This window comes from Homo sapiens, chromosome 2 (genome assembly GCF_000001405.40).
Source record: "Homo sapiens chromosome 2, GRCh38.p14 Primary Assembly".
NCBI classification, from domain to species: Eukaryota; Metazoa; Chordata; class Mammalia; order Primates; family Hominidae; genus Homo; species Homo sapiens.
Genome location: NC_000002.12, coordinates 58,993,212 through 59,012,507, shown reverse-complemented (window position 1 = coordinate 59,012,507; position 19,296 = coordinate 58,993,212). Strand labels below are relative to the sequence as shown.

The window sequence follows — 19,296 nt, the reverse complement described above, 5'->3', positions numbered from 1 at the left end:
CAACACGAGATGAGATCTATCTAAAAACACACCAGATGCTTTCCGTCAATGACATCATCTAATCCTCCCAACAGAATTTGGAAACAGTTGCCTAATACCCATTTACTGATTGACCAAGTCTCAGAAAGTTTGAGTGACCTGTGCAAGATAACATAGTAAGTCACAAAGTATTGAATTGAAATCCAGTTCTATCTCTATATGACTCCACACTTAACTTCTTTCCTACGACCTTATAGACGTGTTCATTGGGAAGACATAAATCTTAAGCTGCAAACTGAAGAAAGAATAAGTGTTAAAAAGGTAGAAAAGAAGAAAGTCAATATTTCTGGGGAGAAACCCTCCCTTCTCACCAAATGTTGATGGCGGGTATAACATCAAAGGTAACAAGCTCACCAGGACTTAAATATAGGAGAAATAAGGAAAATAGTGTTAGAATTTTTGTTGTTGTTGAGACAGGATCTTGCTCTGTCACTCAGGCTGGGGTGCAGTGGCTCAATCACAGCTCACTACAGTCTCAACCTCCTGGGCTCAAGTGATTCTCCCACCTCAACCTCTCAAGTAGCTGTGACCACAGGTGTGTACCACCACACCTGGATAATTTAGTCATAGAATTTGTTAAGACCATGTGATATCTCTGAGAAGCATATCAAAAACAGGCACCCATGGAACAGCCTCAGAATTTTAAAGAGTTTGTGAAGAGGGTAAAGGATACACTGAGAGTAACTAGAGACCCAGAGATTTCCAGACTTAAGAAACACATTGCTGCCCATCTCCTCTGAAGATGCCAAGGAGGAAAGTATCAGGTTGCTTTTCATTACATTGTCTGTGAAAACTGCAGAAGTGGCAGTTACACAGTAGATCATAAAGTGGACACCTTAGGACAAAAGAATTTACCTGATTCATCACTGCTTTATCCCTCTGACTCTTGTTTTATATTCCCATTGTACGTGAGGGAGATGGGCAAGAGAGAGCAGGAAGAATCTACTTGGGATAAAGTCACAAAGTAATGATTACCCTTAACATTTGAAGGGCCTGGAGAAAGAATACAAAGGGAGGTCCACATAAATGTAGGTTGAAATATTTTCATTATAAATAAAGCTAGCAAACTGTTGACTAAAATAAGGTCTAGCCCTCTGTCTTGATTAATAGGCTGTAATAACAACCTGGAAGTCTAAGTTTCAACTTAGAATCTTTGGGATCCTTGAAGTTTGATGCTGGAACTGACAGAAGAGGAAAACCAAACCTCAGCCTCCCACCCACCTCCTGTTTTTCCCATCCCTCCACTGTGAGGGTCCTCACATGTGCGGATATATTTTTCCACATCTCCATGGTCAGTTGACACCAGGGTTCAGGGGAGCAGAGGCCATTGGTAAAGTCCATCCCTAAGAAGATGGAACTACACAGGCCCTACGGTGGGTTTGGGGCCACATAGGCAGGGAATTTGGGGATCTATTATGTTTAGAGCATGACCTACAAGGGGGCAAATGTCCAGGATTCAGGTGAGAAAGTCTGTTGGTTCTTTGGATACCCTACCCCTTAAGGAGGACTGAAAAAGCCCAGAAAAGAAAAGAAAAAAAAATGGGCCCAGAAAAGCACAGGGCTTAAGGCAAGGACAGCTTTTGCCTAACTGTAAAATGGTACTGCACAGAGTAGCGTAAAAAAATGCCTTTTTATAATCCATAGATCCTGTTTTGGCACCAAAGCTCCTCCTTGGTGCTCCACTTGGCCCATAGCATTACACAGCCTCCTCAGGTGGCCCCATTCACATTGAGGCACATGGAAGCCTTGTGTTAGGCATGGTTAGGTTGCTAATAAGAGTCCCTAAAAAGGGGCTAGGATTTTTAATGTTCATCTTTTACATTTTTGAGCAGCTAAAAGCTTTTTTTAAAACTCTCATTCAGTCCAGCGTCTCCAAATAGATTCAAACTGCCATAAAGGAAAGGAAAAATTTTGAGACCCCCCTTCACCTGATTTCTCCATTGCCTGCACAAATACATACACACACGTGCACACACAGACACAGAGTTTAACTAGCTATTCAATATTGTCCTAATTAAAAGTTGAATGCATCAGCAAATTGAACCCTAGAAGCTAGCTAGTTATCCGCCTCAGTCTACTCACCTAGCTATAGAGCTCACTCCATCAGAAAACTCTCTCTGTTCAAAACAGAGAGCTTCCCTCTGCAAACTCACTCTACAAAGTGCATTAGGCTCCACATCACATCTACGCTCCTTCAGCCCTAGTGGATAGAACAAGTTTCTCTGAGAGGATCATTTCTGTTGACCGAACTTTAAGTTCTTTTCCCAGATCTCTGACATGATTTGACTGAATTTCTTGAAGCTTTTGTGTGTAAAGGTTGCAGAATGTCAATTCTCTAGTGATGGGATTTAGAAAAGGGAATGAAACCCAGAGACTTTATTCAGAGTGTGTGAGGAATCACCTTTATTACTAAGTGTTTCATACAATGGTATTAAAGCTATTTGCCATGCTTTTTTAATCCAAGGGTTGGACACGATTTCTTATTGTGCAGATAGCTTCTCCTAAAATTAAACCAATAACAATCAATAGCATGTTATTGAAAGTTTATGATGTTCCAGACACTTGGCTTGGTACTTTTCATGATTTCTCTTCTAACCTTCTACCAGTCTTATGAAATGGGTATTATTATTACTGTTGCTGCTGTTATCGATGTCATTATGAAGACGAGAAAACTGAGGCTTGGCGAAGCTAAGTAACTTATCCAACATTTTACTGCTAATAAGTAGCAGAATCCTGAGTTAAAACCAGGCATTGTGATATTGTGACTTCAGAAGCCTTCTACTTAATGACAATAATGCCCATTTGCATTTGTAAAGCATATTTCTGGAAGACACAAGGAGGGGGCAAATATTCTTCTGCCTCTTAATAAGACCTTAACCTAAAAGGGAATTAAAAAATGAGAAAGTACCAAGGTAGAGTAATAGGGACTATATTTACCCTCCCACCTGAACAAGTAAAGAGAGAATATATGAATGTATATATTCATATTCATATATTCATATACATAAATACATGTGTATTATATGAATACACACAATACACACACACACAGAGACCTACAGTTTTCAGACCATTGTCCAATTAAGTGACAGAAGAGAGTGGTATCTTATAAGTGGTAAACAAGTCAGGTAAGCCCTAACATTGTCCCACCTTACTTCCTTGAGAGAATTTTTGGGCTACAGTGCACAGAGGAAGCCATTCTTCTCCTAGGCATTTACTCAAGAAATAAAAGTGCATGTCCACATAAAGATTTGTACATGATGTTCAGAGCAACAGTTATATCTGTAATAGCTAAAAATTGGAAACAATTCAAATGGGTAAATAAAATGTGGTATATCCATACAATGGAATAGTGCTCAGTAATAAAAAGGAATAACTACTGATATCTGCAACAAATAAATGAATCTGAAAATAATCATTCTAAGAGAAACAAATGAATACATACATGTGATTTCACATCATATAAAATTCTAGAAAATGCAAATGAATCTAAAGTGACATGAAGCTGCACAGTGGCTGCATGCATGCAGTGAAGGATTGCAAAGAGACAGGAGAGTCCCTGTGGATAATGAATACGTTCATTTTCATCACTGTGGTCATGGTTTCACAGGTGCGTAAATATGTAAAAATTTATCAAAGTGCATACTTTAAATATGGGTTGTTTATTATACGTCAATTACACCTCAATAAAGCCATTTAAAAAATAGAACAGTTTTAATTAACAAGATGAAAGGTTTCAATCTTATTTATTTTTAGCAAAGAATAGAAGCTGTATAAGAGCCGAAATATTGTTTATCTTGCTTATTTGGGGTCTCTAGTGACTAAAGTTAGGTGTACCGATTACTACTTCTGAGTAACTAACGCAAAATGTAGTGGCATAAAATGGTCACCTGTCATGTTCATAGATCCTGTGCCTTAACATTACGGCAGAGTTGGGATGGCTTCTCTCTGCTCCATGACGTTTGAGGTCTTAACCAAATTGCTGGGTACTAGAAGCACTGGAGCTCCCTTATCACTTTGTGTGGTCTCTCCAGCGAGGAGGCTCCAAGGTAGCCAGACTTGTTACCCATCAGTACTGACTCCCAAGGGAGAAATCTAGGAGGAAGCTGTGTTACCAGTTTTGTAATCTACCACCAGAAGTCACTGAGGGGCACTTCCACCACATTATCTTTGGTTGAGGCAGTTATAAAAAATCTGCCTGGGTTTACGGTGAAAGAATATAAACACCACTCTTAATGGAGGATTCTCAACACTTGTGCCAACATTTTAAGAACGTGGGATAGAATATATACCAGCGCAGCAATCTTTGGAAAATTCAGTCTGCTGCACTGTGTCTATGTCACACAAATGAAGATATGAACATGAGTTAGTCATTTCCACTTCATGTGCAGTCTTACATGCCATAGAAAATGAAATCCATGCATTCATTACACAGATGCATAAGTGCATCTTTTTTACACAATGTGGTTTCAAGATAGAATGTTTTAACTTGTACCCTGAAGGAGCTTATATTTATAGATAAATATATGAGAAAAGAGAAAGAAAATATAGAAAATGGCAACTTGGCATAGAAGGTTTAAGTCTTAGGGAAGGTATTTAGTACTATCAGGGTTTTGAGAAGGCAGAGGCTACTACTGGCTGAAGAAACAGTAAATGCTGCCTGGGGTGTGGAGTATTAGAACTAAGACTGGGAAGTTTAGTAAGATTTCCACAGAAGATGCTGAGAGACAAGCACCAAAAGTAAGGAAAAAGTTTGATTCAAGAAATTGACCAAACCTAGTACATTATCTAAAACTCCAAGGCCCCTTTAGAACTACAGATTCTACACCCTACTTCTAGAGTATTTTAAGTTATTAAATTCCTCTCCCCCAGGACATTTTGATAATCAATCAGATTTTGAAACCACTGAGGTATAGGATATATGCAGATGGAAATAAAGATGTCTGTAAGAAAGATTAGGACCAAATCATAGGGGACTTATAAGAATCAAATGGTCTGCAATAGAATCCGATGATTATTTCACTTATATTAATTAACTTATCACAGCACCACACTTTCCAGCTAAATGCTGCACATTTGTGGTAAGTCAGATTATAAGTCAGTAAATAATAAATAATAGCAGCATTAAGTACTTGATGATACATAGACAAGCCTACAGTGTAACTTTAAATTATAATTTTTTAAAACATGGAATTTAGAGTCAGGAGAAAGCTTAGCAGTCCTTCAGTTTCTTTCCCTAAGTTCACAACATTATTTAATTCTTCCCCAAAAGTGTATATGAAGTTCCTGATGGGCCCCTTCCTATTTTGCGTGAAGGAGACTTCAGAAGTTCATTTCACAGGAATAGTTTCAGTGAAGAAACATTTTGTGATATGGAATGAAAGGTGCCTTATGCACACAAGATGTTATACCTATAATATTGCTGTCATATTATTTATAAACCATAGGCTTTTCGTATCACTTTTATGCACTGGTAGATTTTGTCAGTTCTGTGGTTCCTTTGATATATAATTTATTGTGTCAACTAATCCTGAAGAAAAATCCACAATAAATAAACAGATAAATTGACGTTCATCCAGCAGAACTATACAGTATGAAATGTAAGTTCATTTGCAGAAAAGAAAAGCTGTATAAGAAGCAGAATCATTGTTTATCAGTTTTGAATTGCTATATTTGTTCTTTGCCAAAATTTCTAATTTCTAATTAGGATTGTAGGTACTATTTCTCTCTCTCTCTCTCTCCGCCCCGTGTGTGTGTGTGTGTGTGTGTGTTTGTGTTTCTCTCTCAGAATGGCATCTGTGAGTCTCTTTTGATAATGAATACGCCAAGGGGGCCCAGAGTTAAGTCTAGGCCTCAGAACTAGGAACATTTCCATCAAAGATGGTTTGTTAATAATAAAGTAAGGAGGGAAAAAAGCTATTTGCTTCTTTTGTGGCTCTGACCCTCCCTTGGTCCTGCCAGGCCTGCCTGAGCATCAGCAGAGTTCAGTGGTAATTAAAGCAACAGTGTTGTGAAAAAAGTGTGAATTACTTTTACGGGAAGACTTGGATGTTGCTACTGACTGACAAAGCACAGCGGGGGACTCTGCTGGATATTAAAGAGTGATGGTAGTCCCTGTATTGTAAGGTGGCTTTTCAGCACAATGCAAAATTGTGACTTTTCACAAGTTGATATCTCTGGAACCATTCGAGTTATCAGCTTAAAATTTAGATATATATTTTTCCCCTTGGCAAGCTTGTGGAGCAAAACTATGTCACATTTCATGAAATGCGATATGGTGGTTGGAATTATGGAGAGCTAAAGTATATTTTCTTCCTTTTCTTCCCCTGGATTTTGACTCTATCATGGAAGTATTTCAACCTTGAAGACTGCAGAAAATAGTGAGGAAAAAGCTATAAAGGGATCATATGTTCAACCCTCTCTTGGCAAGTTATTTCAATGTCAACTATCTAGGCTTTCTGTTTCTGTCATTTTTTTAAAAAAGAAAGAAGTGCAGACCAGCACTCTGTTGACAATGCCAAGAAATGCCAACTCCAGGCTCTCAGCACTGGTGTATAAATACCCAGAAGGATGGTGGGTTCCTCCCACCACGCCCAGCCAGGAAAAGTTCTGATCTTACTCCTGTCACTGCCAATCTTGTTAGGCCAACTCCCACACAGGTGTGATATTAATGTTGATTCTGCTCCTTATACAGTGAGAAAAAATGTCCTTAACCAAATCCAATAAACCGAATTTGTGGATGTGAATCAAGAGGATAAAATAGCCCAAAAAAGTATTAATCACTTTTCATTTTATAAGCTAACAGACACTATCAGTATTCCTGAATCAAGTTCACAGAGAACACATGGAATTCTATGTAAAAACATCATCAACAGACCAGGGAAGACTGCAACTAATAAGATGCAACTGAAAAGTGATGGGAAATATGTATGTTATATGAGCCTGTATTAGTGATACATTAATCACATAACCAATGAATAGTATATCATGTAATATGCAACTGCTCTTTCATGTTTATCATTTTCTCCCTGAAGTAAATGGGTTGAGATAGTGAGTAAAATTCCTATGCTTGGTATATTTTTGGTAACCCTATCCACATCTGACCACAGTGGGACCTTCTGTGGATCAATGGACACAGTAAAGCAGAAGGCAACAGAGTATAGTGAATAAGAGCTCACCCACACACTGTGCAACCCCAATTTCTCCATGTGCAAAAAGGTTGTAATAGGCATTCCCAACTTATTTTTTAAATTAAGTGAATTAAGATATTAAAAATAGTTTAGTGAAATGCCTGACATTTAGGAGTAATTAATAAAAGCTAATTGTTACTATCATCACCATCGAACTAGGTGTGATAATGATGCAAGGTGATCCAAGGAATCCCCTTTGCTTTTAGATACACTGATTCTGTGTGATTTGTCAAGCAGTGGGGTAATATTTTTTAAGTAGTATGAGGTCATAAAATGGCATTTAGGGGATGAGGCTGTGACATGCCAAACAATAGATGGTTTAAATAGACAACAATGATATAAACAGAATAACTGGGGTGCTCAAAATGACATTCTTTCACCCCACTAGTGCAAAGTTTAATTAGTATGTAAATGGCATACTCATTTAAAATTGACATAATGCCACCTCTTTTCATGCCAAGCTGTCAGGGCCTATGAAACTGTAAAATTCCTGACACTAAACATTTGTTGTAAACTGATCCTTCCAAAAGTAACTTAACTAAAGCTGAAAAGGCAGGAAAGGTGATAATCACTTTTTTTTTAAGCCACTTCTTCATTCTTTCTTTCAGAGATAAAGGCCCAAACTGCTTTTGGGGAAAGATTCACCACATTATATTGGGCTGAGGGCATATTCTGTAAAAGAAAAAAAATATATGAACCACCAACCCCAGAGTGATGAAAAGCAAAACGGGTGAGGAAAAAAATACCCTCAATTGACATAGCTATTTTCATCACATCAAATCAGCCATCTGTTCTTGACATAGTTTATTATCATTAGGAAGATTTTCTCAATTCAGACATGGTGATGAGGAAAGATGAAGAATTAACCAGATAAATAGCCAATTTGGAAAATTCAGGCTGAGACCCTTTTCCTCAATTTCCATCCCCTCCTTTCTCCCTGCTCCATCATCACACTCCAATTATTCCAAGAAAAGCTTCAATGACATGATTAGACATGTTTATGGTAGTGTTTTTCTCTCACTTGCATAGGCATAACAAACTAAACACACTAGGTATCAAATGACACAAAGGTGGTCAACATTGTACAAAAAATAATAGTTTCCCATTGTTATAAATGACTGCATAAACTTAGAATGACAGGTGGCTACAGTTCTACAGTTAAGGGTGAGGGAATTAAATACTCTGAAATGAAGTATAAAAATGCTGATGTTTTCCTCCCAGAATTTATTCATTAGAAATGCATCAATTTACCTTGGGATAAGAGTGTTTAGAGAAGAAAATTTTCTTTGAAATCATCATGAAGTAATTCCAACGCTCTGTGTGAGATAATCTGGAAGGAAAAAGTAAATGTTGGAAACCAATAATAAAAAGAAAATATTTAAATCCAATGCTTGATATCAACTTCATAAAGTGAAGTTGGAAATTCACAAAAGTTAAGCTCATATATTTAGGAGAAAAAGTTAAAAGAATACTTGACAAATATCAACACAACTATTTAAAAAATTACTCAGGCTGGTTATTTTATTTACATAATGTTGAAAACAAGTGTGATTCTCCCTCAAACAGTTTAAAAATTCATGTTAGATTTATAAGAATCTAATTAACAGATTTTGAATTATACTTGAAAAAAATCTTTTTGATTAAAAACTTAAAAATGTTAAGGGAAGTAACTATTAAATCATGCAGACTCCACAAAACAACTTTCACCCCAACCCCCAGGCTATTTTGTGTATATATATCTGTCTTTGATAACATTCCTGTGGTCTCTTATTCTGGTCTTTTATACCTAAATATCTGACTTACAACTAATTGTCAAAAAAGTGACTTTTTATAACTCTTCATTCCTCAACATCTCTTTAAGTCATCATTGTTGCTAGACCTTTTTGTGTTGATACACTTTTTTCTTAATTTCATCTATGTCATAGGATCTTAATTATCTTCATAACTCTTACTATGCTCTTGGTTTTCTTTGTTGCTCCAACAAAGCTAAATATGGACATAGTCATTCCACCACAGTATTCATCAATTCAGCAAATGTCTATTGAGACCCTACTGCAAACCAGGTGTTGTTCTAGGTGCTGGGGGTACAGCAGAGAATCAGGCACACATGATCCTTGCCCTTATGGAGCTTAAGTTTCTAGACTAGAAGTCAACAAACTAAAGCCTCCAGGCCAAATCCAGCTCATCACCTATTATTGTAAATAGATTTTTCTTGGAACACAGCCATGCCAATTCATTTAAATATTGTCTACAGCTGCTTTTGGGATACAATGGCGTGGTTAATTAGTTGCAGCAGTGACCTTTAGAACACAAAGCCTGAAATGTTTATTCTCTGGCTTTTTACAGAAAATGTTGGCTAATTCTGGTTGACTCTAGATCCTTCTTCAACTGTGGCAGCTCTTCAATCTTTATCTTGGAGAGTACATTCTTGATTTCTTGTTGTTTCAATCACTTCTACAGAAATGATTTCATAACCTCTAGTCATAGTCACGATCTTTTGAACTTCATTCACATATTTCTAATTGCCTATTTAACATTTCCCTCCCCTGCACACACACACTGGTGAGTATATCACCATTATTTCAAGATAGCTAAGATTGAATTTATCTTTTTCCCAAAGCCAACTGTGTTTGACCGTCAATCTCCCAACCACTAGGACTTAAGATTCTGGAATCTCTCATTTTCTTCTAATATCCAGGTTAAAAAAAGTTTCTAAACTTTAAATATTCTTTATATCTATCAACTAATATTTGTTTCTACTGCCACTACCTAGGTTTGGACCTCAAAATCTTATACTTTGGATACAGTAATCATCAATCTCCTTACAGTTAATCCCTTATGTCTCCAATGATTTGTCAGTCAGTCTCCCTGAGACATCACCTTGTATATGTCATTAAAATCCTTAGTAGCTTCCCATTACCAAGATTAGGGATTCAATCTGTAGCTGGGGCTTTCTTTTGTGGGAATGCTACAAAATGACTTCAAGGGGCCCATAAATCCCATTAAACACACCAAAAATTCCCTGGAGGTTGAATAAATAAGTACCCTGAGAAGATGTATCACTATCTATTTTTCAAGTGTACACAGATGTTCTTCTGATAATTAAAAAGTTCAGCCTGGGCAACATGGTGAAACCTCATCTCTACAAAAAAATATACAGACTAGCCAGGTGTGGTGGCATGCACCCATAGTCCCAGCTACTCAGGTGGCTGAGGTGGGAGGATCACTTGAGCCTGGGAGGTCGAGGCTGCAGTGAGCTGAGATCACATCACTGCCCTCCAGCCTGGGTAACAGAGAGAGACCTTGTCTCAAAAACAAACAAAAAAGCAAAAAACATAAAATACAAAGTTGCTTTTATAAGTTACTGATATGGTTTGGCTGTGTCCCTACAGAAATCTCATCTTGAATTGTAGTTCCCATAATTCCTATGTGTTGTGGGAGGGACCTGGTAGAAGATAATTGAATCATGGGGTCAATTTCTCCCATACTGTGCTCATGGTATTGAATAAGTCTCATGAGATCTGATGGTTTTATAATGGGTTTCCCCTTTCGCTTGGCTCTCATTCTTTCTTGCCTGCTGCCATGTAAGTTGTGACTTTTCTCCTCCTTGCCTTCTGCCATGATTGTGAGGCCTTCCCAGCCATGTGGAATTGTGAGTCCATTAAACCTCTTTTTCTTCATGAATTATCCAGTCTCAGGCATGTCTTTATCAGCAGCATGAGAACAGACTAATACAGTTACCAATTATTTCATTGTAACTTTTTTCTCATTCTCTATTTTCCAAAGCAATTGATTTTAAAAGTGCAACTATTTTTTGTCTGTATTTTGTGATCAAATGGTCTTCCATTGGCCATTAAATGCCTACTGTACCATGAGGAAGGGTCTGTTAACAATTTACAAGGAAATTACAGGAGCTTAAAACTTCAGCATTTGGAGGGGAACGTAAAAGCCTTAAAAAAATCTTTAAATCCAACTATGTCCTTTCCTCTCTCCTTGGATCAGAGCTATGCTATGGATTTGGAGGATTTTATGAGGTACAGGAAGACCGTGGGAAAAGAGATGGCTGTTTAAGCCTAACTCAGTTCTAGACTTCAAAGAAAAGGAACTTGAGGGCTCCTGGTGGTTTCTACACTGTCTGCCTCTGCTGGTTAGAGACCAGGACCATATTAGGGTTCTGGACAGAAGCTTTAATAAACGATGTGCTTTTGGCATCCATATCTTCCCAGTCATATTTCCTGGAAACCCAAAAGAGGTGGTGGAAAAGTGAACATAAATACAGACGCACAGCAGGGGAAGGAAATTACTAAAAACCACATCCACATTCTTGGCCTTACAGTATCTGTGTCTTTCAGTTTAGCCCTTGTTCCTGGTTGTAGTTTTGTTTCTCCCACCATCTCCCTATGCACTATTTGATAAGTGATGGCAGTTCTCCTGTTTCCTGGCATATTATGTCATGGCAGCCCTGGAACCCAGTGCAGTGCCATCAACCAGCAAGCGCAGAGCAACTAAAAATTGCGTGTGTTGCCATTATCCAGTGGTTTCAGAACAATCACAAAGCTCTTATTTTTGCTCATGTGTTGAGTCATTTGTCATGGTGAGTACTCAGGCCAATTTACGTATCTCAGAAACCTCTCTGACATCACAGAACTTGGAGGTAAACTGAGGGAGGGGGAAAAGATGTGGCTACAGAATTGTCAACTAGTAGCTGATTAACTTTGAGCTACGTAATTTCTCAGAATTTTAGTCCCCTCTGTGGTAACTTAGAATAATATCTACTACCTCATTGCAGTTATAATAACTAAAGGAAATAAAATATATAAGGATTTGGCACGGTACCTGATACATAGTTGGCAACCCAACAGTTGTTCTTATAGGAGGGAAGAAGAGAAGGGGGTATGGATCTAAAATGATGCCTGTTATACGTATTCCACCTGGTTTAGTATACGACTGAATTACATTTGGCCTGGAATTACATTCCAAGGATATCCATAGTAGGGGAGGTTGCTCTGACACAGTCAAAGAGAATTACTGGGTCTGGGAGTGATTAACCAGGAGTGAATTAACATTTATTGCACTCCTATTACATAGCCAATTTAGTGGGCATCTTATATATGTTTTTATTTTATGCTCACATCTGTTCTGACACAAATGTTATTTTGTGTGTGTGTTTCTGACCATAAGAAGAATATGGCCAGAAAAAGTTTGAAACATTGCTTGCATCCACACTGTTACTTAGCAGAGGGAAGACTTAAACCAGTTCTAGGTGACTCTAGAGCTTTTCCACTCTTTCTCAATCACTAGGATGTCTCTTCTAATAATTTTTTATGTCTTGTCAAGTCACTCATCAATTTTCATGAAGACCACTGCCCAACTAGTGTATTATTACCTTTTTCTTCATTCCAACAAATGTCATTTAATAAAAAAGGTAGCAAATGTTTACAAAAGTTAAGTCTACATATTTGGAATAATTCTTGGAATGTCTGAAAGAACAAGGACTATCCTAAGAATAAGTGTTGCACTTACTCTCAGACACTTTAGTAGTCACCCAACTACCTATCATGAATACAGGAGCTTGGCCCATCATGGGAACCAGGACTGCTATGGCTGGCTTTGTGAGTTTGGCCTCATTCTTTGAGTCTGTCAGAAATATAACTTTGATTTCGAGAAAGTCCTATTTCTTCTCCTCACTTGCTGTAGTAGAGAATTGGAAGAAACTGTTTACAGCCAGGACTTGCAGGGTGCAGCTCTCAAAAACTGGCTTATATATAAGTAAATAATAAGTAAAATAAGGATAAAATGATGACATTCTTCAAGTAACAGCTTTAGGGTCTCGAAAATGATTATTTCTGTTTGTCTGCAACTGTAAAAATCAGTTTCAGGTCATAGCTTTTCTTTTATATGGTAAATGATGAATGACCATTTAAATATTGACCCATCTACTAACCAAGATATTAAAAAAAAATTAAAACTTACTGTGCTAAAAGGGAATTTGAAGGCTAAGATCACCTGGTTTTTCAACTCAGTGATTACATCATGGGGACATTCATTTGTCTTTACTTCAACTCGGGAATTGCATAAAATATATTTTCCCAACCAAGAAAATCCAGCCCTTTAGCTTCTGCATATTATATTTTTTCTGAATCCTGTAAATATGTTTTTCATCCAAGTTACTATACCCTTTTAGACTTTGGAAACTGTGATGTCAAATCTAACCACCTGAATTAGTTTGTTCTCAAGTTGCTATGAAGAAATACCCAAGACTGGGTAATTTATAAAGGAAAGAGGTTTAATTGACTCACAGTTCCTCATGGCTAGGGAGGCCTCGGGAAACTTACAATCATGGCAGATGGCACCTCTTCACAGGATAGCAGGAGAGAGAATGAGTGCCCAGTGAAGGGGGAAGCCCCTTATAAAACCATAGGATCTCATGAGAACTAACTCACTATCACAAGAACAGGATGGGGGAAACTGCCCCCATGCTTGAATTATCTCCACCTGGTCCCTCCCACACCTGGGGATTATAGGAACTGTAGTTCCTATAATGATGAGATTTGTGTGGGGACACAGCCAAACCATATCAGTACCTATTAAAAGCATCCACAAAAAGTAGGAATTTTCTTCTTTGAGTAGGTATTTTGCCAAAAGAACATATAAGAATTATATTTGCTTGCAAGGGTGAGGATGGGATGGGCATGAGAAAAGTCAAAGCAAAGAAGAAAGACATAATAGCACTCAGCAAGGAAAAGAAAACTATTTTTGTAAGCATTTATTATCATTTTTATATTTTTTTTACTCTTTACAAAAATAGAAATATCCTGTGTTCAGTTTTTACTTAACTTCAACAACACTAGCAATACACTGCCTTACTGCTAAAATGTTTAAAAGAGAGGAAAAAAAAAAGAAAGGGGAAATGAAGGAAGGAGAGAAAGTAAATAATTTTTCTGGAATCACAGGAAAAAGAGAACTTGACTTAAAATTTTTCACGGAGTACCATTTGCTTATTTGCAATAAGTAATTCTTTTGAAAAAAAATTCTAAATTCAACCAATTCAGTATTTTTCTTTCTTGAGTTCAAGTGCTATGAGATAGATATTTTAGTTTTAGAAAAGTTTTACTAGCCACCACCACTCTCCTTTCCAGAGCAGCAAAAATTCTGCCAAATTCCTTATTTTCCCCCATTAGCCTACGGTCCTTAAATGAATTTCCAAAGAATTAGGTAAATACTATTGGGTAATTAATGAAAACTTTCACTCCCTGTTGACTTCTTTTATTTTTATTTTTGAGACAAGGTCTCACTTTGTCACTCAGGCTGGAGTGCAGTGGAGCAATCTTGGCTCACTGCAGCCTCGACCTCCCTTCGCTCAATGATCCTCCTACCTGAGCCTCCCATGTAGCTGGGACTACAGGCATGTGTTACCCCACCCAGCTCATTTTTTCATTTTTTTTTTTTTTTTTTTTTTTTGTAGAGATGCAGGCTGGTCTCGAACTTTTGGACTCAAGCAATCCTCCCATCTTGGCCTCTCAAAGTGCTGGTATTACAGGCATGAGCCATCACTCTTGGCCTGACTTTATTTCTTAAATAAGAATGCAAATCTATATCCCTATCTAGGTGTTAAAAGATGGTAGAGCTAAACCAAACATCACACCCAAAGAAAACTGATTTATCTTCGTTTTTAGATGCATGCATTTATCAGACTACAATCACCTGCTTTTATTTCTACACCAGCATGAATTCCAAAGGACAGCTAAAGTGTTTGAAGAAGAGGCAATTAAAGGACCTATGGAAACTCTCTCCAGTATGGATGGATTATCTTTTGGGTTTTTAGCTAACATTCTATCTAACGCTGGATGGAATTTACCTAATATCCACAGCTTCAAATCAAAGTTGAAAAATTCACTTGTTAGTCACATTTACATAACTGCTATAAAAACTGACCATTAGCTAGGTGCCATAAAACCTTTCTCCTTTCTTACTGATAACTGGGGGAATAAATTACTTAAGCTTAGATCTCGCTCTCTCTCTCTACCTCTCTCTCTCTCTCTCTCTCACACACATACCTTTGTGTTATATGATTCTTCTACTAAGAACAGTGAGTGTATCCAACTCTGATAATTAAGTGTACCACACATGGATCACATCTAAACTTCTGAGTAATCAGGATGAATAAAATACTTATCACCTGGACAGTACTGGATATCAATTATTCAGTGTAGACATGTTTCTTGAAATTCCACCTTCTAATAAGATGTAAAGAATTTGGCCTCTTTTACATTACATTTAAATATATTTGGAAAACTCTAAATTAAACGAAGTAAAGCAAGTGTTTTTTTTCTACTGAGCTTCTCAGAGAAATGTATATATTTCGTGTAAATTCCTAATAGAAATAGTATATTAATTTATTTTTAAAAGCATGCAGAAAAGCACAGGAATCATGTTTAAAACTGTGTAAATCCCGCCACTCTAAACTAGCCATCCTTAACTGTAATGGGACATCATTCTTATATGTTTATTTGCATATAAACATATTGAAATACACACTAGTTTCCAATTGCTGCTGTAACAAATCACCACAAACTAAATGGCTTAAAACAACACAAAAATATTATTTTATAGTTCTGTAGGCTATAAATCCCAGGAGGCTGAAACTAAGCTGTCCGCTTCCTTCCTGGAAGCTTTAGGGGAGAAATTAGTACTTTCAGCTGCACACCTTCCTCAGTTTGTGGCCACTTTCCTGACCTTAAAGCGGGCGCGTGTAGTTCAAACCTTCTCAGGTTGCATCACTCTAACCATCTGCTTCCCTCTTCCATTTTTAAGGACTCTCGTGATTATAATGGGCCTGACCAGGCAGTCCAGAATATCTAACTTAAAGTTAGCTGATTAGCAGCAACTATAATTCTATTTGCAACCTTAATTCCCATTTGCCATGTATTATAACTTATTTATATATTCTGGAGATGACGATGTGACATCTTTGGGGATGCATTAGTCTGTTTACAACAAAAGATACATATTTATATGTATATATACATATACATGTACACACACATATATAAAATCATTTTATTAAAATAAGATGCTAATCTACATGCTCTTTTAATTAAAAAACTACTAAATTAGTTGTATATGTCATTAAAGTAATGGCAAAACCTGCAATGACTTTTGCACCAATCTTTATAATTAAATTGTGTGGACAAACTGAAGAATTTTCTGAATACTAAATAAATATTTTTAATGCTGTATTACAATTTTAAAAATATATATCTAAGTCTAAAAATAAAATGTCATCAAAATAATAGGTGTTTGAAGTTATGTTTTTAGAATGAGATCCAAATTTAGAAAGGTTTGACTTCCCCTTAGAAATAGACAAAAAAAAAATCCCACTGTCATTGTATTATTTTTATGTCATCAAGGCATATAGCATTTAAACTTAGTCTTCAAAACTGAATTTCCAATATTAGCTGAGGATTGTATTTACCTAAACAGTCACTTCCAATTATTTCTCCATTCTTGAGATATTTATTTTGGTTCTTCTCTTTGTTGCCCAGTACTCACTTTCATAAATCTCTTCATTTCAAGATGGGCTTATAGATCTACTTCCCAAGTTCTTGTGTGCTTAAGAATATCTAGTTTTAGTTTTTATACCTGGGTTATAAGAATCTTGGGCCACGCTTTTCTAATAGCAGGACTTCGTACACATTGTTCTACAGTCTTTTGAAACTAAGTGCTGCTGGTGAGATCTTAGGCTGGCCTCATTTTTTTTTTTATGTAATAGTTTACTTGCTTTTATTGCGTGCAGAAATGACTAAAATAAAATCTTTTTTAAAAAATTACTAGAAGTTTAATATTTTAAACAGGCTAAATTTTTATCAGTTTTTTTTTTCCTGGAACATCATATCTTTAAACTTAATCAGTTATTTTGCTTAATTTCAGGGAAATTTTCCACTTTTACACTGTGAAATTTTTCTGGATTCTTCTAGAAGTTTTCTACAGGATGCCCATTAAAAATTATATTACATCATCTTTATTCCTGTATAGTACCTTATTTCTAATTGGTTTTATTGCTGTCTTTTCTTTCTGCACTTATTGTGAGTATCTTAAGGCAGCTCTATGTCAGAAATTGTATACAGCTGTGTTTATAGGCCTGCAGGTTGAGTTTCTGGAAATGGGAAGGCTAAATTGAAGTGATTAATATAAGGGTGTCATTGCATACTATCTTTGAAGCTGTGTTCCCATATCAACACTGACAATCTAAATTATTTTCAGTTCTTAATAGTTTATAGAGCAATTTTATGTATATTATCTCATTTAACCTTCACACAGTTCTGAGAGGTAGACAGGGAAATAGTATTCTCACTTTCTCATGTGTATAAGTGATCAGCTGAATCACTCTTTTATAATTAGAATATTAGATAACATCAGTATAAAACAAGTTGTTCTTAAATTAGTCCAATCTTTTTCTCCCTTGCCCATCTTCGTGATAAAGAAAAAACAACCTCTAATTTTCACTTCCACCCTTGCAACTAGAGTTAGCCAGGTGAACATCTTTCTGACTGCAGTGAAAAGAAATTCTGCTGCAGGGGTAGATTTGGGGAAAGTTTTTCCTTCTCTATTAAAAGCAATGGGCAATGCTGGCATCTCAGTCTCCTTCCTTCTTCCTCACCTTGACATGTACACAATGTCAAGAGATGAGGCAGTAATCGTGGACTCATCAGGAAAAGGCCAAGAACAATTCAACTGATATTAACTCCAACATGATTGAGTCATGGAACTAATGTCATCAGCTGCCTGCCTATCTCTGAGCTCCTTATGACATGAGAAAAAGAAGTGTCTCTTTGCCTAAGTCAGATAAATAGTATTTTATGTTACTTGCTGCAAAAGCATTCCTAATACTATCAACTGATAATAATGTCAATGCAAGGAGATGATAATCTAAGCTCCAAATCATTATACATTTATCTTAAATTTACATAATATAGAAATAGTCCAGGTGTGGTGACTGACACCTATAATCCCAGCACTTTGGGAGGATCTCTTGAGGCCAGGAGTTTAAGTTTAGCCGGAGCAACATAGCGAGACCCTCTGTCTGCAAAAAGATTACCTTAAAAAAATGGCCTGGACGCAGTGGTTCATGCCTGTAATCCCAGCACTTTGGGAGGCCAAGGTAGGCGGATCACCAGATCAAGACCATCCAGGCTAACATGGTGAAACCCAGCTAATACAAAAAATTAGGTGGGTGTGGCGGTGTGCGCCTGTAGTCCCAGCTACTCTGGAGGCTGAGGCAGGCGAATGGTGTGAATCCAGGAGGCGGAAGTTGCAGTGAGCCGAGATCGCACAACTGCACTGCAGCCTGGGGGACAGAGCGAGACTCTGTCTCAAGAAAAAAAAAAAAAAAAAAGGCTGAGCATGATGGCATGTGCCTGTAGTCCTAGCTTCTCAGAAGGCTGAAGAGGAACAGGGGGTCGAGTCTGCAGTGAGCTTTGATGATGACACTACACTCCAGCCTGGTCGACAGAGCGAGACCTTATCACTAAAAAAAAAGAAAAAGAAAAATAAAAGGAAATTGTTTAAATATAATAACAATCCTTTTTTTCCCTGATAAATGGGAAGATTAAGTTCTTTCCTTCTTCCCACCATAGGGGACTAGGACGTCACCTAGGAAGAAAAAATATTCAGCATTTTAACTCATTGGGCAAGTATTCAAAATAAATTGTTCCAAGAAGCAAAGTTAATTTATGCCAGTCGAATAGAAAATAACATTAGTTTCATTCATTGTGTTTCCAAGTAACCTGGAAGAATAACAATGACTAAAAATTTTGTGTGTATGAATCTAAATATTTTTCCTGATTTGAAAGACTGTGCTAGACACTGAATGATTATTTTCATTTACATGGTATAAGCAATTCACTTTCTCATACATCTTAAAAGTCTACCTACATGAGATAAGAATTATGCTGTTTTATATTAAAATTGATATAATTTCATGAATCATTTTTATTGACTGATGATTTATAAACTATTCTCTTCTGGAAAACCTCATTAGTTTTTGAAGCCTCTACTAGTTTCCAAA

General features: G+C 36.9%; 1 long non-coding RNA gene across 1 annotated transcript in view; it reads right to left on the bottom strand.

Annotated features, from left to right (window-relative positions):
* LINC01122 (long intergenic non-protein coding RNA 1122) overlaps positions 1-19,296 on the bottom strand; it is a 543,014-nt gene that overhangs the window by 51,259 nt on the left and 472,459 nt on the right. Inside the window, exon 7 of the long non-coding RNA NR_033873.1 lies at positions 8,481-8,559. This is a non-coding gene — a long non-coding RNA (long intergenic non-protein coding RNA 1122). The remainder of the gene's footprint in view (positions 1-8,480; positions 8,560-19,296) is intronic.